At 51.6% G+C, this 22,034-nt stretch overlaps 1 protein-coding gene across 5 annotated transcripts in view, besides 7 other annotated features; it reads left to right on the forward strand.

The window, feature by feature from the left end:
- Positions 1 to 19,123, forward strand: part of TBX4 (T-box transcription factor 4) — a 32,689-nt gene extending 13,566 nt beyond the window's left edge. For 2 of the 5 annotated variants that reach the window (NM_001321120.2, XM_011525490.3), the window contains exons 5-9: positions 1,523 to 1,670; positions 12,640 to 12,792; positions 13,894 to 13,982; positions 14,103 to 14,332; positions 16,910 to 19,123. In NM_001321120.2, the coding sequence (NP_001308049.1) occupies positions 1,523 to 1,670; positions 12,640 to 12,792; positions 13,894 to 13,982; positions 14,103 to 14,332; positions 16,910 to 17,529 (1,240 nt within the window). In that variant the 3' untranslated portion in view covers positions 17,530 to 19,123. Of the gene's footprint in view, positions 1 to 1,522; positions 1,671 to 12,639; positions 12,793 to 13,893; positions 13,983 to 14,102; positions 14,333 to 15,337; positions 15,814 to 16,909 lie in introns of those variants that run through there. The other 3 variants (XM_011525491.3, NM_018488.3, XM_011525495.3) reach the window with 2 other exon arrangements.
- Positions 4,265 to 4,766: an enhancer, noted in NCBI's record as "H3K4me1 hESC enhancer chr17:59547613-59548114 (GRCh37/hg19 assembly coordinates)". NCBI's record gives its function as "activates a minimal SCP1, AML or CMV promoter by ChIP-STARR-seq in naive H9 embryonic stem cells {active_cell/tissue: H9 hESC(naive)}" and the evidence as "EXISTENCE:reporter gene assay evidence [ECO:0000049][PMID:30033119]".
- Positions 4,265 to 4,895: a biological region, named in NCBI's record as "Sharpr-MPRA regulatory region 11492".
- Positions 4,601 to 4,895: a silencer, noted in NCBI's record as "tiled region #11492; HepG2 Repressive DNase matched - State 12:CtcfO, and K562 Repressive non-DNase unmatched - State 20:ReprD". NCBI's record gives its function as "represses a minimal TATA promoter and a strong SV40 promoter by Sharpr-MPRA in HepG2 and K562 cells {active_cell/tissue: HepG2 | K562}" and the evidence as "EXISTENCE:reporter gene assay evidence [ECO:0000049][PMID:27701403]".
- Positions 10,530 to 11,232: an enhancer, noted in NCBI's record as "H3K4me1 hESC enhancer chr17:59553878-59554580 (GRCh37/hg19 assembly coordinates)". NCBI's record gives its function as "activates a minimal SCP1, AML or CMV promoter by ChIP-STARR-seq in naive H9 embryonic stem cells {active_cell/tissue: H9 hESC(naive)}" and the evidence as "EXISTENCE:reporter gene assay evidence [ECO:0000049][PMID:30033119]".
- Positions 11,233 to 11,933: an enhancer, noted in NCBI's record as "H3K4me1 hESC enhancer chr17:59554581-59555281 (GRCh37/hg19 assembly coordinates)". NCBI's record gives its function as "activates a minimal SCP1, AML or CMV promoter by ChIP-STARR-seq in naive H9 embryonic stem cells {active_cell/tissue: H9 hESC(naive)}" and the evidence as "EXISTENCE:reporter gene assay evidence [ECO:0000049][PMID:30033119]".
- Positions 20,100 to 20,962: an enhancer, noted in NCBI's record as "H3K4me1 hESC enhancer chr17:59563448-59564310 (GRCh37/hg19 assembly coordinates)". NCBI's record gives its function as "activates a minimal SCP1, AML or CMV promoter by ChIP-STARR-seq in naive H9 embryonic stem cells {active_cell/tissue: H9 hESC(naive)}" and the evidence as "EXISTENCE:reporter gene assay evidence [ECO:0000049][PMID:30033119]".
- Positions 20,963 to 21,825: an enhancer, noted in NCBI's record as "H3K4me1 hESC enhancer chr17:59564311-59565173 (GRCh37/hg19 assembly coordinates)". NCBI's record gives its function as "activates a minimal SCP1, AML or CMV promoter by ChIP-STARR-seq in naive H9 embryonic stem cells {active_cell/tissue: H9 hESC(naive)}" and the evidence as "EXISTENCE:reporter gene assay evidence [ECO:0000049][PMID:30033119]".

The raw sequence follows: 22,034 nt of genomic DNA on the forward strand, positions 1-22,034 counted from the left end.
CCACGCCCCCACCTAGTGTTTTGTCCGGGGGATTTCTTAGCTACCTGAGTGACTGCCCAGGTCTGCAGGCTGGAGTCCACTGCCTGGAACTGGCTGTGCGGAGGCTGAGGTGGTCAGCGAATGTCTGCATGCCTGCTTCAGGTGGGGCTGGGTTTGGGCTGAAAAGCAGCTGCGTGTTTGGGAGTTTGGTGGATCGCAAGGGTCTGTACTCTCCTTATGGCCGTGGGTAGTCAGGACTTGGTAACTATGCTGTCAGGTGACAGACAAATCATTAACACTGGCCAGATTTAGACTGTCAGTGCTTCACTGTGGGGAAGATGGGAGCAGTTCTCTTGGGGACTTTAAGGGCAAGCCATTACCTGCTGTGTGGGGGCACTCGCCTGTTTCTCCATGTTCTCCTTGGCTTCAGGCCCCTCCAGCCATCCAGACGAAGTGAGGCTCCACCAGGGGGTTGGTGGATGGGACCCTTTGGCAAGGGGCTGGGAGACATAGAGAGGTAAAGGGACAAAACCAAAAGGGGCCAGGTAAATAAACGCTGGGCTACCTTTCATGAAGCCAACTCCTTAGTCCCTGACTGCCTGGGAGCTCGGAACAGCGCTCCAGGAGCGAGCAGCCAGCCAGGACACTGGGCTCCGTGGCAAGTGAGCCACAGAGCTGGAGAGATTGGGCCGAGCAGGCAGGATTTGGTGGCCACGTCCTGGCAAGGGCCATGTTTCTGTTTCTTCTCCCTCTCTGGGCTAGAACTCAGAGCAGGCTCTGGCTGCGGGGAGAGCTACCAATTAATTTCTTACCATTGTTTTGGGGACAAGCCTTTTGAGAGTTGTCTAGGTCCTCTGAGAAGCTCCCTCTAAATAATATAATTTATAACATGTGACAATCATAATCATACCAGGTGTAGCGGCTCATATCTGTAATCCCAGCTACTCTGGAGGCAGAGGCAGGAGGATGACTTGAAGGTCAGGAGTTTGAGACCAGCCTGGGTAATATAGTAAGATCCTTGTCTCTGTAAAAAATGTAAAAAGTTAACTGGGCATGGAGGTGCATGCCTGTAGTCACAGCTACTTGGGAGGCTGAGGCAGAAGGATTGCTTGAGCCCAGGAATTGGAGGCTGCAGGGAGCTATGATCATACCACTAGCATGGGTGACAGAGTGAGAACCTGTCTCTTAAAAAGAAAAAAAAATTTTAAATCATAAGTGTAAATATACATAGAAGTGCCTAAATCTCCTCACAATATCTTTGTGATTAGCCCCAGTCCTTCAATTAAATGATCCCATTTCCCTGTAACCTCCCTTTTCTTTTCTACTGCAGTAAAATAAAGGAGATTCAGAACTGCTCTCTCCTCCTCAGCATTCTCTCCTCTGAACCTCACACTCCTACCCTTGAAGTACTAATTTGACAATGTGGTGGGACCAGCAGCTATTTTTTCCTCTGGTCAATGGGGGTTTGCTCCAAGAGGGGACGGGGAATCTGGCCTCACCAGCCCCTGGAGTAATCACCTGCTCTTATCTGCTCTGTTGGCAGGATGGTGGCAGGGAAGGCTGAGCCAGCCATGCCAGGAAGGCTGTATGTCCACCCGGATTCTCCTGCCACAGGAGCCCACTGGATGCGGCAGCTGGTCTCCTTCCAGAAGCTGAAGCTGACAAACAACCACCTGGACCCCTTTGGCCATGTAAGCATGGGGGCTGCCTGGCCCCAGGAGGCAAGTCTGGGGCAGTTTTAGGGGTGGGACAGGCCAGGATGGGGATAGGGAGAATCCACTCCGGGATCCAGCTCCAGGCTTTGGCGCTCACTGACCAGTTTAGGGAAGGAGCTCAAGCCTCTGAGGCCTGCAGAGAGCTGGACTTCCTTCCCGGCCACTTACTGGCTGGGTAACTCTGGACAATCGTCTCAGCCTTTTTGAGCCTCACTTTCCTTGTCTAGAAAATGGAGATGACCACATGTACCTTTCATGGCTGTGAGACTTAAATGAGAGGGTTTACCGGAAGCACTTTGCACGTAGGAGGGGCTAAATAAATGGCAGCTATGATGATAAAGGTGACGGGTCAGATCTCAGCTTCAGTTCCCCAAAATCTTGCCTTGCTGGAACATAACACAAGAGGGGTAAGCCTTTTCGAGCGAGAGTCACGGATATGTTCCAAAGCCCCTCTTTGGTGTGTACCGTCTGCCTGGCCTGACAGCCGCCTGCTTCTGGGAGAAAAGACCTTGCTCTGGCTCACATGTTAGCTCCTGCTGGATTTGGCCTGGTCCTTACAGAAGAGATTCTGAAGCCCCAGGGATGCTGCTGACGCCCCATCCAGGCAGCCCAAGCTCATTCTTTCCCCATCTGGCCCTGGAAAGTCCACAAAAAAGAGATTTTTATGTGGAAATTTTTAGCTCAAGTGTGTGGCAAACAGAAGTCTGGGGACCTGGTACTATCTGCCAGGGCACAGGCCCCTCCCCTCGAGACTGCCCGTGGTTTCTGGGGAAGTGCAGGGCAGGGGCAGTGGAGGCTTTGAGATGCAGGTGTGGCTGTTGGGGTTACGAGATGTGCAGGTATGTCCCGCTTTTACGTCCCAGCTCTGAAGCATAGTTCCTATGGAAAACTCCAGCCATGCTTCTTTTCTGATTGATGGGTATGTAACTGGCATTGAGCTTCTAGTTTTAATTTCTCAGAATCTATTCAGTTCGCTTCTGAGTCATTGGTGAGCTATAAACAAGCAGCTAGGAGAATGTTTAATTAATGCAGTCAACTCCTGACTTATCTTATCTGGTTTGTGAGTCCCTTTGCTGGGTTTCCCATACAGGGCAGGCAGATTCCCAATGGGGAGGATCAGCCAAGTTCCCACCTCCCCGAGCCCCAAGGCATTTCAGCTGAGAGGCAGAGGGGCTTCCTGGGTCTCCCTGGGCACCATCCTGGTCAAGACTTTGTTCCCAGTCAACTCCTACCCAACTTCCTATGCTTGGCCAGGCTGTGGCACCAGCCTCAAAGGGTAGGGAGGGTCTCTGTGTGGGGAGGCTAGGGAACCTGGCCCACGACGGCACACACACACAGACCCCATGGGGGGCGAATACAGAGCTTGTGGGGAGCTGCATCTTTGGGTGGCCATTTGTCCCTAGAGATCCAAACCTGGAGAGGATTTTGGATGAGCCAGCTTGTTGTCAGGGCTGCCAGCTGCAGGGATGTCTCAGAGGACACCTCTGCTTCCCTGACCTCTAGAAAGTGAGAGCAGAGGGAGTTAAGGGCTGGAAAGCTGCGCCTTCTTTAGGAAGTGGGAGAGAGCGCTCTGGCCTTCACAGCCCAGCAGTAGCTTTTCACAGCCTGGCTAACCTCTTCAGTAGCTCTCCCTGGGTCTGTGAGTGGTTTGTGATAAACTGCATAGAAGTCAGGGCCAGTGAGGCTGCTTGATGGGCTTGTGATGCTGGGGGTGCCCCTGGCTGCATCTGCCGTGCCTGCCTGGCGCTTCCCTTGCCTTGATGATAGGGATACTACCCACAGGAACTCAGCTTTTTCCCTGGATGAGTGGGACGCAGAGCATCTTCCTTCTCCCTTCATCCCCACACTTACCCAGTACTTGCAGTTTATTGGCTACAACAGCCCTGTGGGTGTGGCAGGGCCCAGGTACCGTCTCAGACCCAGGCCTTCTGCTTCCAGGTCCAGTGTCTCTGGGCTTCTCCACTGCCTTTCTGTACCCAGGGCTCTCGCTGCGGTATCTTCACCTATTTAGAGAACCCTTGAAGAGGGAGCAGCCTCTGGCCATTCAGACAAGGGCTGTGGAGAGACATATCAGGGCACAGCAACCCATTTGGACATTGATTTTCTTCTGCCTCTTGGCCCGTGCCCGTGGGAGTGGTGAGCTCCCATTGAAGGATGAAGGAGTCACCCTTCTTGGCTTCTCAGTGCAAGAGGCTGGGGAAAAGCCACGTTGTATTGGGAATTGCCCTTCCTTCTGCACAACCACTTCTACGTTTTCAGCTTGCCCTGAAAGCTTCCAGGCCTCAAGGGACTTTCTCCAGCCACATGGGCTTGGACTTTTCTTGGGGATCCTCACGGTATCCCAGGAGCTTGAGCAGCTGCCTCCTATTGGCAGCCCTCACCCCCAACTCCTGCCCAAAAGGGTGGGCTCTCTCCTCGCGAAAGGGCAAGTTGAGAGCTCATGAGAGTGGCTGTGGTATCATCTTGGGGTCCAACAGGTGGACTCAGTGTCCTTCTAGCCTGGAGATCCCTGGGCCCAAGCCATCCCATTTCCTCATCCCAGGAGATGAGCAGGGTGGCTCATGTGTCTGCTTGCTGGTGCCTTAAGGCTTCAAAGAGCAGGAAGCCCTGACTGTCGGGGAGGGGGTGTGGAACAACTATTTTGGGATAATCCGGGTTTTCCTATCATTCAAGATTCCTTTCTTCCATGAATGCTGCTCTTCTCTGAAGTCTGAGGACCTTAGATTGAAGTCTTGGGCCTGGTAGCCTGTCCTGTATGGCACATGGGGCCCTGGAACAGGAACCTCTCAGACCACATGGCCAGAACCTCCTAAAAGGACTGAGCTCCCACTAGAACAACACTCCTTGTGGGTTTTTGCTGTGGGATTAGGAAAGCCTTCACAGCAGAAATCCACAAGGAATTTTCCAGTCTGAACCTTGGAAGGCAGGTTCAGGAGGGCAGATTCAGACCTGGGCGTCAGCTCCAGTCCCGAGGTTGGGCCAGGCGGGAGCAGAAAGGACCAAGGGGCTGGGGCTGGATGAGCTGCCTCCAGGTGGCCTGAATTCAGCTTTGCTTCTGCTGTTCTGCTGGCCACAGAAGCTGCCTGCCCACTGTCCCTCCTGCCTGCCACTACCTCCCACGCCCAGCAGGGTCCTGTGCCCGGCGACTATGAGATGGGAAAGGAAACTGCTTCCCTCGGCTTTCTTCCTCTTCTCCTCTTCTGAATAAGCTTCTAGCAATACCTGGGCTTCAGGAAGTCAGGGAGGGCCTCACTGGGGCATAGGCGGGACCTGTATCCTGTAGCACGATGAGGAAATGGTGGCATGCAGGTATCCCAGATTGCTGAGGAGGGAGGGCCAGTTTATGATTTCTGACGCAGTGAGTCCAACTGTTGGAGGGGCTGCATTAGCCCCTGGGCTAGAGGTGTGGGCTGCAGTTCCTCAGTCACAAAGTAGCACGCATTAGTCCCCTTAATATGCGACTTCCTTCTAGCCACTGGGCTTCATAACTGGCATAGGCCTGACTGCCACACCCTTAGGCCTGGGACTATTTTCCCACCTTCTTCACCTAGGTAGCTACTCCTGAGCTGCGAGATCCAAGCTCAAATGCACCTTCTTCAGAGAGAAAGGTTGGGGTCCTCATTCCATGCTGTCAGAGCACTATGCACCTTTTCATGCTAGTACTTGCCAAGGTTATAATTTTATACCTATTTGCATCTTAACATTTTATTTATGAATAGGAAATACTTTCACAAGCTTTAAACATAAATCATTGAACAAATTAAAATGTCTACAATACGACATCTCTCTCTACTTGTTCCTGATCCACTGTTTCTTTCAACCCCCAGTACAGGCAACCATGGCTACCAATTTCTTTTCAGCATTTTTTTTTTTTTTTTGCACATAGGCAGAATGTGTAATCTGGAATCCCCTCTTTTACACACAAAAGGTAGCATACTATAGAAACATTTTTTGCATTTGCTCTGTAAACTTAATAATATCTCTTGGAGAATAGTCTATTCAGAGAGGGCTTCCTCATCCCTTTTGCAGCTGCACAGAATTATTATTATTTTAATTTCTTTGAGATAGAGTTTCGCTCTTGTTGCCCAGGCTGGAGTGCAATGGTGTGATCTTGGCTGACTGCAGCCTCCACCTCCCGGGTTCAATCAATTCTCCTGCCTCAGCCTCCTGAATAGCTGGGATTACAGGTGCCTGCCACTATGCCCAGCTAATTTTTTTTTTTTTTTTTTTTTTTTTTTTTTTAGTAGAGACAGGGTTTCACCATGTTGATCAGACTAGTCTCAAACTCTGACCTCAGGTGATCCACCTGCCTCGGCCTCCCAAAGTGCTGGGATTGCAGGCGTGTGCCACCGCGCCCGGCCTGCAGCTGCATAGAATTTTATCAAAATGATTGTTTCAGAAATCATGTAGCCAGTTCTTGTTGAAGGAATTAGATGTTTTTTTATTCTTTGCTCTTCTGATTAAGCTTGTACATATGCCATTTTATGCTGTGCCAAGTATATCTGTGAGATAAATGGCCTGTTCAAAGGGTACGTGGATTTGTAACTTTGAAAATATCACCAAATTCCCCTCCATGGGAGCTGTACTGATGTATATATTTCCACCACTGCTGTGGCCTTACCAATAAGGGCGGGAGAGCAAACTTGTGGATTTTTGTCAGTTTGACAGGTGAAATGTGGATATCAGTGTTAGCTTTAATTTGCATTTCCTTTATTATGAGTAAGGTTAAGCATCTTCTTTTAATAAATTTCCTCTCCTGCGAACTGCTGTTCTCATCCTTTGCTCATTTTTCTTGTAGGTTTTTGATATCAATTTCTAGGAACTCTTATAAATTAGGAGGATGTAGCTCTTATCTGTGATGAGTTACACATGTCCAGGTTATCATTTGTCATTTGGTTTTGCCTGTAGTGATATTCCCACACCGATGCTTTTGATTGAATTGACCAGTCTTTTCCTTATAGATTTTGGATTTTGAGTTATTGAAAGCCCTAACCCCCCTCCTTACTTATAAGGGACTTTTCTTTTAGTATTTTATGGATTTATTTTTACATTTAAACCATTGATCCTTTTGAAATTTATCCTGGCATTGATTTGAGGTGTGAATCCAATTTTTTTTTTTTTTCTACAGAGCTATCCAGTTGTCCCAGCATCACTAATTGAGTTGTCCCCTTTCCTCCCCTGGTTGAGGTGCCTTATTTCTGAACACTAAATCCCTATATGAATGTGTGCCTGTTCACACGCCAGTCTTTTAACTGTTGAGACTGGATAATAGGTTTTAGTGTTTGGCAGGACTGGGCCTCCTTGATCTTCTTCAGAGTTTTCTTGGCTAGTCTTGTCTATTTTTTCACATAAATTTTAGAATAAGCTTGTAGTGTTAAAAAAGGAGCTTATTTGTATTTTTATTGGATTTTCCTTAAATTATAAATTTACTTAGAGAAGACTGATAGGAAGGCTTTTCTATTTGCTGAGGGTTTTCTGGTTCTTCAAAACGTATTCAGGTTTCCTTGAAATGGCCCTGCACGTTTCTTGTTAGGTGTGTCACCTGATTTGTTACCATGATAAATGCAGCCTTTCTTTCACTACATTTTCTCACCACTTATTTCTGCTCATTTTCGGAGTTACTATGTGACTGCCCCACCAGATAGTAAACCATGAGGTTTCCAATCACTGTGACATCCTAGTGCCTAGCCACCGTGTCTGGCAAGCCAGCGGGTGCTGGTGGATGGTAAGTGCATGAGAAACTCCTGAAGGGGGTGGTAATCAGACAGCAAAGCCACTTCCCCTGCCAGGGGCAGATGTCCCCCCAAAGCTTATGCTGCTAATCTGCCAGTGGGGACCCAGAGCTATTTATCTCCCTCTTTCCTCCTTTCCTCCCACATTTGCTGATCCCTGACAATGTGGCAAGCCCTGAACTCCAGATCAGGTCCCACCCTCCCCAGCCAGGTTAAGGTATGAACTCAGGCTTGGAAACTAGTACCAATTCTGGCTGTGCCTGAAATCGGCTGTCTGATGCTGGGCAAATGCCTGCACCTCCCTGACCCTCAGTCCCTTGCCTGTTAAAATAAGGGCAATAATAATTAATGCCTACTTTATACGGATACTGTAAAGATTAATTTTATGGTGAATGTAAATGGCTTAGCACAGGGCCTGGCACATAAGCTATGCTCAGTAAGTGCCAGCTGTTACTGCTGTTGCTGTGGCAGAAGGCAGGAAGGTTTGGAGGCCCCACGGTACCACCCCAGTGTTGCTCGCATGGGAGTGATGCCTAAGGTTCCCTGGGCAAGGCCTCTTGAGTGGGCTGATGGGCTCCCTGACTTAGATCTAGTTTGAATTTTCCTTGGATGCACCTCTTATCATCCGGGGTCTCAGTTTTCTTTCTTTCCTTCTTTGGTGTTTAAGCTGAGATCCTGTCACTGTCCTAACCTCTTTGTAGGGCTGGGGAGGATCAGAAGGATGATGGAGAAGGTAGTCACAGAAAATAAAATTATGATGCAGGGTAAATCTGGTTTTAGTATCTGACAAAATGGACATTAGCCACACTTTTGAGGGGCTAGCATCCAGATAACATGTGTTCTGTGTTCTGTAGGGCCTGCTGACCCAAGTCCCTTACAGTGTTTAATTGGCACCTTCTCATTAACTCTGAGCTTGTTGAGAGCAGTGTGTGCTCTCTCACAGGCCATCTGGATCCTGCTCCAGACTGTGTCTCCAACCAGCTGTGTGTTCCTGGGCGAGTCACGTCTCCACTACCAGCATTCTGTTCCTCATCTGTAAAATTAGAGAGCTGGACACGAATGATCTCAATGGCCTGCCTCTCCATGCCCTAATGTTCTGTGATTCCAATGTAGATAGATCTGGGCTTTATTGGCCAAGCACGCTATGGCGATCTCTTGAGGAGAGGGATGTTTGGCGCAATTGCAGTTGTTAAAATAGAACAGGCTTCTGAATTGTGGCCAGAACATAATGAATCCCATTTCTGTGAAACGATGATGACGGAACCAGTCATGTAGTGGGGTTGTTGACGTGGCTGGCCCATTTGGCCCCATATCCTCTGCAGCAAATATAAATGTGAAACTCTGGCAAAGTAGTTTAATGTGGCGCCTGAGGAACTTCCGAGCAAAGCCAGGTGTGTGAGTCACTGAGTTGGTTTCACATTCTCCCGGCTGATGGGACTAAGGCTCAAGTTTATACTTGTCTTGGCTCAATGGGTGGGACTTTCTTCCAGATACCTGTCCAGGTTCTAGACTGTCGGAGTCAGAAGGGGTGTTTGGGACCACTTAGTCAAAGGCCCCACTTCATAGATGGGGACCCCAATGGTTGGAGAAGGAGAAGAGCTTGCTCAGGACTTGACGCTGGTGAACAGAGATCATGACGGCGTCTGCACCCTTCTTGACTTCTCTATGACCGGGGTTACCCTCACCTAGTGGCTCCCACCTGCCCCTGTAGGACTGGCAGCTTCCCTCTTTGCAGGTTTCCCTGTGAGCCTGGCTGGTTCCCTGCCTCGGAAGATGTGTTGGGCACTCTCTCCACCCTAGTCATCAGGGACTTTGTCTGACGGGCTAAGGAGTTTGGCCTTTATTCCAAGGGTCAAGAGGGAACAATCAAAGGTGGATTGTGTACATAAGGCATTTACTGAGCCCCATATACTGGCAGCAGTGGTAGGAGGGGATGTGGGGGAAAGAGGAGGAAATACAAAAGGCCCTGCTCTTAAGCAATGCACATCTTCCTGAATTTCCCAGAAGGTTCTGAGCAGGGGAGTGAACTGATGGGATGTGTTTCAGGAGGAAATGGAGAGAAAGTAGATGGAGGTAGGGGGAGGCTGTCCTAGCAGCCCAGCCAAAGATGGTGGGGCCTGAAGCAGGGGTGTGCAAAAGGAATGGAGGGGCTTTTGTTTTATAGATAGAGTCACAGGAATCGGTCACTGAGTGGACCTGGAGGTGGATGACAGTGAGGAGGAGGGGAGTTGATGATGATACCCAGGGCTTTGACGAGCCCACGACTGCTTGTGACTGCCCAGGTGTCACAGGAGCAGGGTGGCTGCTGCCATGTGTCCTAGTGTCCTGCACAGCCTTCATGAGGTGCTGGTGCCTATGGCTCTGTCCTGGGTTCTCTCAGCCCACGGTCTTTGTTCTCCCTTTGCGCTGCCACCTTTGGAGAGCTAGAGTGACTGGGGGAGGCCTTCATGCCAAGGAGCTGGCACATCGGGGAACTCATGGGAGATCATCTCTGCACATGTTTCATCACCACTTTTGACCTAGGAAATGCCTTAGAGATGATCTCGTCTTTAGTGAGCAAGCAAAGACCAGAGAGGAGGGGACTTGCCCACGTTCCCACGGAGGGTTTGTGGTCGTGGCCCAGATCTTCCCACTCTCAAACCCGACCTTGCACTCACTAGATCCTGTCTGGGGGCAAAGGAGCCTGGAGGTACAAAAGGATAAAAGGTATAGCCCTTTCTCCTGAGGAGTTTAGAGTTTAATTGAAGGGACAAGAAGAAATAGGAAGCCACTAGGATGCAGAATGACAACCAGGTAGATAACACATGAGAAGTAAGTTTCAGAACTGGGCGTTCAGAGCAGGCCCTTGTACCTGAGACTTCCTGGAAGATCTGGGTCTTCCTAGAAGAGATGTTAGGCCCAGAAGGTGAGAAAAGAATGGGAAAGGAAGATCGAGACAGCAGAGGGACCTGCATGTGCAAAGGTGCACAGGTAGGAACTGGGCATTCCTGGAGCTATCGGGCCACCTCCCAGGTATTCCATTGCTGGATCTTCCGGGAACGTGGGTCCTTTGTGGATGCCTGCAGCTCTGTGAATAGTGCACGGTGATGGAGTCACCTAAAGGGGCTGGGAGGTGTTTTCCAGGCCCAGTTCCTCTCGCCACAGGAGCATCCCCAGCGTCCTGGAAAGGGACAGACATCGAGGCCTCTCTGAGCGGGACCTGTGTCCTGTAGCCTCACTCTGCATTCCTCACCTGGCAGGCCCCCAGTCGGGCAGCAGGTCCCCAGCTGCAGGACCTGGTTTGGGGTTTGGGAGTTATGTACTTGCCTCGTGAAGGTCTGGAGGTTTGTCACTGAGGGCTGAGGCGGGAGTGGCCAGTGCAGAAGGCAGAAAGTGTGGTTCCTGCTGGATGGAGTCACCCAGCTCAACCGAGGAGCCCAGGGAAGGCCAGTACCCACAGCCCAGGTCCTGGCCCACCCATTCCTCAGCTGAGCTGGCTCTCTAGGCTATCCCTGTGCCCCAGGGCACGATAAGAGCAGAGTCTTCCCAGACTAAGACTTTGGCCAAGGTTTGCCATAAAAGAGCCTGACTCTGGCCTTTCTCTTGGCACTCTGGTCACTAACAGGTTAAACCTTTCATTCAGCGTCAGTACCAGGTCCCATCCCTGGGAACCTAGAAGGGTGGCAGCCCAACGACCAACCCAAGGAAAGGGCACTGCCAGCTACGGAGAGGGGAGCTCAGAGGGGAAGGGGACCCGAGGGCCCGCCTGGCCTGGCCAGGACAGAAACCGAAGGGTTAACAGAAGCCGCAGGGCTGATAAAATGCCCCAAATTCCTGGTCCTGCCTTCAATGGGGAGGGCGTCTGGCAAATGTCAACGATAAAAAATACATTTTAATGGCACATGATGCAGCTGCTACCGTGGGGCGCAGCCAAATGAAGCAGGTTTGGAGCAGCAACTACTGTGAGCGGCCCCCGGGGGCTCTGGCAGCCGCGCCTCCAGGGCGCTTTGCTAAGCTTTGTCCAGCCGCGGCAACCCGCCTCCCCCAGCCCACGGCATCCTCAAGGGCCCTTGGGATCGGGGGCCTCTTGCCTTCTATGGCACTATTTTGGAAACTGTGCCGTCTCCTACCTTGGCACCTTGAACGCTTGAAGAGCTTCTCTGAGGGCTGGGAGCGGCCTTAGGCAGGTCTGAAGGCAGGATACATTTGGGTCTCCCCAGCACACCGTCAGCAGGCCTCTGTGAACGTTGAGAAATGCATAAACAAGGCTAGGTGCGGAGGCTCACGCCTGTAATCCCAGCACTTTGGGAGGCCAAGGTGGGCGGATCACTGGAGGTCAGGAGTTCGAGACCAGCCTGACCAACATGGTGAAACCCTGTCTCTTCTAAAAATATAAAAATTAGCTGGGAATGATGGAGCACACCTGTAATTTCAGCTACTTGGGAGGCTGAGGTACGAGAATCGCTTGAACCCAGGAAGTAGAGGTTGCAGTGAGCCAAGATTGCGGCACTGCAGTCCAGCCTGGGCAACAAGAGTGAGATTCCATCTCAAAAAAAAAAAAAAAAAAGAAAAAGAAAAAGAAAGAAAGAAAGGAAAGAAAAGAAATGCATGAACAAATGAGCAATGTGACAAAAAAAGTTACAGTGGGACATTTTCCTCAGCTTTTTCCCTCTCTCTCATCCTGCAAAACCCAAGTATTTCTAGAAGAGGCAGGTCATGTGTAAGAAGGGTATTGAGAAGAGGTGAGGCTGGAGGGGGACCCCTGAGGGAGGGAGGTTACATGTTATGATCCCATTTACAAATGTGGAAACTGAGGCACAGAGAAGCCCAGTGACTTGTCTGAGATCAAACAGTGACTCGGTGGCACCCTGGACTTTTGCTGACAGCTCACAATTCCACCTGCTACACTGTGCTGAGTTCACAGTGGGCTTTGACAGTGTTAAGGGCTGACTCAAGTTCTCCATTACCACAGTGAATCAACTGGTCACATCAAGGAGGGCCTGGAGCTGGGCATTAGTGCTGGTGCAGAGAGGCTAAGTAGGGCTGGGGTGGGGAGAGTTTGGGGCCCAGGGGCCTGGTTCTTCACTTGGGAGCTCCAGTCCTGGTCGGTAGGCCCCGGATCCTGGGCTTTGAGGAGAATGAGAAAAACCAGGCCAGGGCCAGAAGAATGAGGTCAAGGGCCTGGGGCTTGCGGATGGGGACCTGGAGCTCAGCATGAGACCCTTCTCTTCCAGATCATCCTCAACTCTATGCACAAGTACCAGCCGCGGCTCCACATCGTTAAGGCTGATGAGAACAATGCTTTCGGCTCCAAAAACACTGCTTTCTGCACCCACGTGTTCCCAGAGACCTCCTTCATCTCTGTGACCTCCTACCAGAATCACAAGGTACAGCCACTGCCCCACTGCCCCACAGCCCCACTTAACACCACCCTGCGTTCTCTTCCACCAGGCAGAGAGGCAGAGTGTGAAGCCAGAGTCCCAGCAGGGCTTGGGCAGGCCCAGTGCAGGGACCTCAGAAGCCTAGAGTCCCTCGGAGCCGCGAGCAAATCGAATGATGAACAGAAAAGGACCCTAGATATGTCCATCTCCAGCACAGAGGAATTACGGTCTCTGTGTTTTGGGGAATGGAGAAAATTGGCAACTGTAAAAACCAGGAGCTTGGAGTCTGCCTTGTGGTTTGAGCATTGGGCCCTTTCATTCCACAATGTTCTTTCTCCTGGTTCATCTCCTGGTGCCTTCAGAGACAGGGGTAGGGAATGGGGATAGGAGCCCTGGGGTGCTGTCAGCTGGGGTGTGGAAGCAGAGCCTGAGCGGAGGCCCTTCCCAGGCTGTGATAGGAGGTGCCCCAGCCACCTCCCACACTCACTACTGCCCTCCCCAGCCCGGCCACCCCCACTGCATCCCAGTCACTGACAGCCGTGCTCTGCCGCCCGTCTGCTTTCCACAGTATGCACACAGGGACTGGCAAGGTGGGCAGGGGTCACTGGGGAAGGGCCGTGGCTGTGGTGGATTTTAGGCAGAAGAGTGACAGAGTCGGAACTGCATCTAGAACGGTCACTCAGAGCCTGATGTAGTTGCACAGACTCAGGCAGCAGGCCCGGGATGCTCACTGGGAAGATGTTACAGGTCCCCAGGAGAGACCCATGGGGACAGAAGCCCGGCAGTGCGGAGGGCTGGGGAGCAGGAGAAAGAATCAGAGGGTGGAGAGCAAGGAGTAGGGAGCCAGGGACAAACCAGGTGTGAATGGCAAGGCCCACTTCCCCAGACCTGCCCCAGTTCTGCCTGTGCCTGGGGTTGGGGAGGAGGGAAGGCCAGAGGCCAGTCCAGTCCCACCCTCCTCCCCAAGGAGGGTAGTGAGAAGCGGTGAGGCTGGAGAGCGACCCCTGAGGGAGGGAGGTTACATGTTATGATCCCATTTACAAATGTGGAAACTGAGACACATTTGTGTGCCTCACACTGGTGACCCTATGTGTTTTCTCCCCACAGATCACCCAGCTGAAAATTGAGAACAACCCTTTTGCCAAGGGATTCCGGGGCAGTGATGACAGTGACCTGCGTGTGGCCCGACTGCAGAGGTGGGGCTGCGTAGCCTGGGGGTGGGGCGGGCAGATGGGATTCAGGCACGTGGCCTCTGTGACCCTCGATGTATCTTCACTCTCTTCCTGTCTCTCCTCCTGTCCTCCCCACCCCTTCAGCAAAGAATACCCCGTGATTTCCAAAAGCATCATGAGGCAGAGGCTCATCTCCCCCCAGCTCTCAGCCACACCGGACGTGGGCCCCCTGCTCGGCACCCACCAGGCACTCCAGCACTACCAGCACGAGAACGGGGCACACTCACAGCTCGCGGAGCCGCAGGACCTGCCCCTCAGCACCTTTCCCACCCAGAGGGACTCAAGCCTCTTCTATCACTGCCTGAAAAGACGAGGTAGGGCTCTCCTGGTCTAGAAGCCCTAGAGGGTAAGAGGAGCGGTGAGGTTCTCCCCGAAACCACTCTGCAGCGCCCCCCCCCCCAACACACACACACTCATCTCGTGCTTGTGTGGCCTGGGAGAGTGGGCCTGAAGGGTTAGGGATCACAGCTGGGCGCAGGGCCATCTTTTCCAGTGCAGGGATGCTGGTTCTCATCTCTCATGCTGCCTTTGGAACCCTCACAGACAGCTTGTAGCCCCGGTGTCCCCAGACACCTTTCCAAGTGTTGCTTTGCAGTCACTGCTCTGAGAGCCTCGTGGGGTGAGCTGGGCTCTGCCTGGAAGTGCAGGAAGAGGCTGACACTTCCCAGTCCAGAGGTTTTGGGATTGGGGCTGTTGTTTGTCAAAGCAACCTCAATTCCAGAACAGGGAGGACTTGGTGTCTCACGTGCAGGGCCTTCCACCCAATCATTCCTTCCAGGATCTGCAGAGGCTGCTTGAGAGTTGAGATGAGCTATTGTGGATGTAGGTGGGGGCTGGGAAGACAAGCCACAGCACCCTCTGTGCCAGGCCTCTTCGTAAAGAGGAGGAGCCCGGAGCTGGGCACCATCACATCTGTGCTCTGTGCCAGGTCTTGATTCCTCCATGGATAGAATTGCAATGATTCGTGTTACTCCACCAGAAGACCTCATGGGGCTGCTGAAATTCCCTTCGGAATGAGCCTGGGGACTTTTGCTTGCCTTCCGGAATGTTCCCTCAGCCCTGGTCCTAGGGACTAGCCCAGCAGAGCTCCGAGATCCCCTGTACAAGTCTCATTAGAACTCAATGACCTAGAGCACGGGTTGGCAAACTGTGGCCTTCGGACCTAACCCAGCCTGCTACCTGTACAAAATAGTTTTTACATTTCAAAACAATTGAAAAAAATCAAAAGAATATTTCATGAGATGTGAGCATTATGTGAAATTAAAGTTTTAGTGTCCATAAAGTTTTATTGGAACACAGCCATACCCATTTACTTACAGGTTGTCTACGGCTGCTTTCATGGTACAACGGCAGAGTTTCGTAGTTGCAACAGATACCCTGCGGCCCACAAAGCCTAAGATATTTACTATCTGGTCCTTTGCAGAAAAAGTTTGCCCAGTCTTGACCTAGAGTGAGTAGGCCACCTGCCAGGATCAAGAGCTTAGCTCAGGGAGAAGAGAGGGATTTGGAGAGAAGACGGAGAATCGGGCTGAGTGAGGGGCAAAGGAGAGAGCTGGGCAAGGGAGAGGAGCAGGTCTCCCTGGGCAGGGCAGATGCCACCAGCAGGGGCAGAGGAGAGAGGTGAGCAGAGGCCTTCACACCCATTTAGCCCCTCTGCTTCCAGCCCCGTGGGTGCACACACAGAGCTCCCCGAATGAATCCCTGGAGAAAACAGGAGGAGGGAGGCCAAGATGAGCCATGGATGTGTGGGGTTTTTGTTGTTGTTGTTGTCCTTGTTTTGAGACGGAGTCTCTCTCTGTCTCCCAGGCTGGAGTGCAATGGTGCAATCTGGGCTCACTGCAACCTCTGCCTCCCGAATTCAAGTGATTCTCCTGCCTCAGCCTCCCCAGTAGCTGAGATTACAGGTGTATGCCACCATGCCCAGCTAATATTTGTATTTTTAGTAGAGATGGGGTTTCACCATGTTGATCAAGCTGGTCTCGAACTCCTGACCTCAAGTGATCCGCCCACGTTGGCCTCCCAAAGTGCTGGGATTACAGGTGTGAGCCACTGCACCCAGCCCGGATGAGTGTTCTTAAATTGGCTCAGTGGGCTGCTCCCCAAACCCTCAGGCCTGGGTCAGCCCTGGATCCCAGGGGAGGTCATGCCACTCCAGATACTTAGGCCCTCCTTGTGGAGGATGTCGAAAGGCACACATACATGATTTGTGGCATCTGATGTCATCTTTCCCCAGAGTATCTGCTTAGCCTGAAAAGTATGTCACCTTTTTCACTTATTATCAGTTCTATTTCTTAATTTGGTAGACACTGTGGTGTTGGAATCTGTGTAGTAAAAATCTGATGGTTCTTCTTTAAACACATGTGAGGTTAGTTCATCTTCTAAAAGCAACAGAAACATGCCTACAAGTGGCTTTGGCTCCCTGAGGTCTTCCTGGGAGCTGAGGATGGAGGCAGAAACCTCATGGCCTTAATTTTCTGGCTACTTCAGACAGATGTGGCCTCTGGGCATGGGCTGGCCTGGCAAGTGCCTCTACTTTCCTTGGCCAGGGAGGGCCTAGCCTGAGAATGCCACTGCACATCAGGGCCTCTCACTCTGCAAGAGTCAGGCTGGCGAAGGATCAAAGCCGAGTGCTGCCTGGCTAAGCCTGGCCCTCAGTGTCCGGTGATGTGGTGTCCCCCGTGGCCTCTGAGTAGGGTCCGTAATCTGACCACTTCTTGGTGCCTGCAACCCTATAAAAGCCGTGGCTGATTGAAATGGCTCTGGGAGTGCCATGGCAACATGGGGAGGGCGGGCGCAGAGGGACAAGGACAGGCTGTCCCAGCATCCAACAGGGTGCTCTGGGGCCTGGGCTGGTGGAAATGGTTCTTCCTGAATGTTACTTTGTCTTTCAGCAGACGGTACCCGCCACCTGGACTTACCTTGCAAGCGATCCTATCTGGAAGCCCCCTCTTCGGTGGGGGAGGATCACTATTTCCGTTCCCCCCCTCCCTACGACCAGCAAATGCTGAGCCCCTCCTACTGCAGTGAGGTGACCCCCAGAGAAGCATGTATGTACTCAGGTTCAGGGCCCGAGATTGCCGGGGTGTCTGGGGTGGACGACCTGCCCCCACCTCCGCTGAGCTGTAACATGTGGACTTCAGTGTCGCCGTACACCAGCTATAGCGTGCAGACGATGGAGACTGTGCCGTACCAGCCCTTCCCCACGCACTTCACCGCCACCACCATGATGCCGCGGCTGCCCACCCTCTCCGCTCAGAGCTCCCAGCCACCAGGAAATGCCCACTTTAGTGTCTACAATCAGCTCTCCCAGTCTCAGGTCCGAGAGCGGGGGCCCAGCGCCTCATTCCCAAGAGAGCGCGGCCTCCCCCAAGGGTGTGAGAGGAAGCCACCCTCGCCACATCTAAATGCTGCCAATGAGTTTCTCTACTCTCAAACCTTCTCCTTGTCCCGAGAATCTTCCTTACAGTACCATTCAGGAATGGGGACTGTGGAGAACTGGACTGACGGATGACTCTCACGTCTCCTCCATAGCCCCGGGACCGTGTTGCTCCAGTATTAACCTCTGTGGGTGGCCTGCACTCTACCAAGAAACACAGGAAGGTATTCCAGTGTGTGTGTGTGTGTGTGTGTGTGTGTGTGTGTGTGTGTATACACGAGCATGTATGTATTTGGAGAGCATCCATCTTCTGACATACAACTGAGGTCATGACAAGGAAAAAAAACACCACATTTATCTAAGAAGTGATTTTGGCTGCAGGACCTGGGTCTATTGTTATCTGACATCTCTTGACATGCCCGTGGGTGGGATGGGAGTGGAGGGTTCATATGAGTTATTGAGAGGGTTTTATAATGGTTGATTTACTCAGGGGCCAGGTGGGGAGTTCTCTCCCATGGGGAAAGATTCTCACTGCTGGGGTGGGAAGATTCTCGCTGCTGGGGTGTGAGGACTCTGTGCACACCTTAGAGTTCCTGGCCTTCTCTTTGCAAGGGGAGCTGAGAATCTGGTTTTGGTAGCAGGAGGCCCACTCCTTTGACTTCTGGAGAGTCTGTGAGACTGCCTGAGAGGTGGGCTCAGCTAAGCCACAATGTGTACTTTGATAGTACAGCTGGCTGCTCAGTGAGTGGCCTAGACATTGATGACTGGAGCTCTGAGGTCTGAGGGATGACGTTCGGAAAGGGTCATGGGCTAAATGTCACCTGAGGGGTATTTTTAAAGGGTTTTTTTTTCCCTTCAAGAGGAGGGAAAATGCAACCAGTAGCATCTCTGTCATCATTCAGATTTTGTAATAAAGTACAGAGCCCTTCCCCCTAGGTCCCCAACATACAGTCTCTCACTCTGGTGTGTGGAGAGTCAGCCTCCCAGGCACCATACCATCTGCATCCTATGATGATGGGCAATTATGAAACACGCCTCAGCTGGCATCATCCCCAGGAGGCCACACTGGAGCTGATGTCTGGCATCTCCAGGGCCTGTTCTGCTCTCAGAAAATCTACGCTTCTGGAGCGAGAAAGGCCAACAGAAATAAAGATAGTTGAAAAAAATTTGTTTCTTCCAGTAAATTCAGCCGGTGAGCTCAGAGGAGCAAAGAGAATTCTCCAGTGTGGCGCTCACAAAGTCCTCAGCCCTGCGTTTTAGCATTGAATACCACCAGGCCATCAGTGTGGCTGGGGTGAACTCTCCATCAAACTTGGGAAATCACTAAACTCTTTGCATGCTGAATAGCTATTTATATATTATATAAATAAATAAATATATATATTATATATCGCTCTCTCTCACAAATGCAGGCCACATGTCAAATTCAGCTTTGCTTTCTACAAATGAATGAACTTAATAAAAATAAACGTTGGAGGGGGTATTTGGAAAGACATCTATTTAAATTTTTATTACATGTTTGATATTAAAAACTAAGAATGGTTTAGATAAAACATATAAATAAATATATATATATATATATATATATATAAACACACACACACTACAGATAAGGCTTTTTTAGAAAACACATTAGCTAACAGGTGATATGGAACTTCAAGTGTTTTGTTATATAGCATGGATGTTTTATTTTGCATATCGGAACATAAAGCCATTTTACAACTGTGAAGTGTGTGGATGCTCTTTATTACTGACTTGTCATTTCTTGGCTCTGCAACGGCCTCTGCCTCTTTTTTGCTGGTATTCTTTTTCTCAAGTGTCAGGTAAGGCCCTCAGTACCTCTGAACATGTGTACCGTGGAGCCTCTGAGCTCACAGTGAAGTCACCTAGGACCACAGAGCAATTGCACCTTTGATCTCATGCTACTCCCTGGGTTATGAATCTGGACTCCAGGGTCCACAAAGACCCCAGAAGGGCGGGCAGGCAGTAAAGCAGGAATCTGTCTCCTTTCAGCAGTCAACACATAAGCTGGCCATTTGGGGGAAGTGGTCTCGTAAGTAGGGAATTCCTGGTGGGATTTATGCAGCTGCTTCAGAAAAGGAACTGAAGAGCAGGTTTGAGTCAGTGCGGGGGGCTTCCTGGAGCAGTCAGGGGCATGAGCTCATCACCACCATCACCCCAGAATGGGTGAGTCAAGGCCTGGCAAAGTCCCCATTCGCCTGCACCTTTGCCAGGTCCCTAAAGCTTGGCCACAAGATGGAGAGAGGAAAAGCAAGGTGAAATCCAGCCCAGGTTCACCCTAGATTGGAAGAGGCAGGCATAGGAAGGCGCTGCTGGGTCTCCCTCCTTACAGCCTTGCCACCTGCCCTGCCCCTCATTGCTCCTTCCCCAAAGCTGCTTACCCGCATCCACCATCTCCACTGCAGGCTGGTCTAGGAACCCAGGAAAAGAGAAGGCAAGGGAGGCATGCCCTTGAATCCTTGCCCTGTCAGGACTGAGATGAGACTTCCTGCTGGGTAAAGACTCAACCTTGTCTCCTGTTTCTCCAGAGTCCTTTTGTGGCTCTAGGCTGCTCTCTGGCTGGACTTCTTCCTGCAGAACAGGAAGCCAAGCTCCATCCTCCCTTAGCTGCTGGCGCACACCTTGGGATTCTTGGTCATGGAGAAAGATGTTAACTGAGCTTGGCTCAGGGGACAGGGAAGTGAGAGGGCTCTTCCTAACTCCCACCTGCTGCGCTCTTTTCTTTCTGGGTGAAGACAGCACATCTGGGACACTCCACACCTTCTAGAGCCCAGGCAGAGGGCTGGGGGCAACGCGGATGTTCCCAGGTTCTCTCCAAACACATGGTTGGCTGAGTCTGACATGAAGAAAGCCACTTCTTAAAGGGGTATTTTGCCTCGAGGCAGCCCACGGCTTCCTGCCAGCTTCCTGGGAAGCGTGAGGTCCCTGGGCTTCCCCACCTGGGCATGGCCAGAGCCGGGCCTGCAGTGGGATTTGTGGAACTTTCCTGCGCCTCTGAATCAACAGCTCAATAAAAAGGGGGCACATGGGATATCCTGAAACAAAGGGCACCATTCAGGAGCGCCAACAGGTCATACATCATCGGCCAGAAACCTGCCACATGAAAAGGGTCTGCTTCTGCTGTGCCCTGCCTGGGAAGGGGACAAAAGCCAATTAACGTTCAGCTGCATGTCCACGGGAAGGCAGCCTTGGGGGCTGTGCTCTCCAGCCCAGGGCCAGGCCCCTGGGGAGAAGCCAGGGCAGGCCTCTCAGCAGCAACTCAGCCACAGACAGTTGGCCCTCAACCGTAGAAGAGCCTGGAATAACAAAAGGGAGAAGGGAAAGAGAAGCTGGGTCAGACTGACAAATTGTTAAAAAACCAAACCAACTTCCAGCCTTGGCTGGGCCTCAGGGGGTCAAGAGGCCTCGGCTCGCCCCACTAATGGAGCCTGCTGGAGGAGTAGCAGCCCAGCCTCGCAGTGTCTTATCTTACAACATAAAATTAAAACCCACTTAAAAGGCCGGAGGGCATGTTAACATTCCCCCTGCTGTCTAATTGAAGTAGTTCCCAGCGCAAAGGATTTCACTTGAAAGATGTCTCTGTCCCAGCCCGGGTCTCCAGCTCAGCCAGCAGGGGAAAGGGGTTGGCGGGGTCGGGGGAGAGGGGGCAGAGGCTGTTTGCTTGCCACCCCCACCCAGGCGGCAGGTGGCGACAGCAAAGGTTAGAACAGTCTGGGTTGTTTTGTATTTTTTAAAAATTTACAAATTCATTAGCAGCTATGTCAGCAGAGGCCACACTCCTGACAAGAAGACCTGGTAATGATTCAAACGTGGTGAGTCCTGCAGTGAAACCTGGCTGTTCCTGCAGCCAAGAGATTTCCATGCCATCCCCCGGCAAGCCCTCTCTCCCCCCACGCAAATCTATGACAGGTCTCCAAGGCATACGGAACCAATCAGGGACATCCTGTCAAGGTGATGAACTTGCACTGGCCATCCCGAGTAATGGGAACCAGTCAGCCTGAAGCCGGCCTGGACTGAAAGCCAAGGTGACAGCTATTAAGCAATTGTGCGCCGAACAAAATGGCAAAGCGGCCGGGTAATCAATTCAATTTCGATGGGCAACCCGAGCAACCGCAGCGGCTGTCGCAGCTGATTAGGGAGGACCGGGCTGGAGCTTTCAATGCGAGCCCATCACAGATCAGAAACAGGCCCGGGATGAAAAGGGAAAGAACCGTCTCCTGAGAAGCAGGCGATGAAGGACTCTGTTTTATGTGACTGTGTTCTTCCTCCTCTCCTTGAAGAAAGAGGAGAAAAAAAAAGCAAGCAGTTTGGAGATTAGATAGTTTTCTTTTCAGCCATTTATCATTATGAAGGAAAGTAGACAGCGCAGGGGCGGAAGAATCTCCAGTGGGATTTCTGCGAAGTCTCACTCGGAAGGGCCAGGTTTACATGATGCAGCTCAAACAGCCCTGCTTATCACAGCAGCCTGACGGGGTCTGCAGAGCATCGAGGGTTCCTCTTCTGTAACAAGGGCGAACAGGCCCCAGTGCCCCCAGGAGTACAGAAATTCTCCTGCGGAAACCCCAAACCAGCAGACTGCATCATTTGTGAAAGTTAAAGCCTGAGTCAGAATAATGGGG

This window comes from Homo sapiens, chromosome 17 (genome assembly GCF_000001405.40).
Source record: "Homo sapiens chromosome 17, GRCh38.p14 Primary Assembly".
In the NCBI taxonomy this organism is placed as follows: domain Eukaryota; kingdom Metazoa; phylum Chordata; class Mammalia; order Primates; family Hominidae; genus Homo; species Homo sapiens.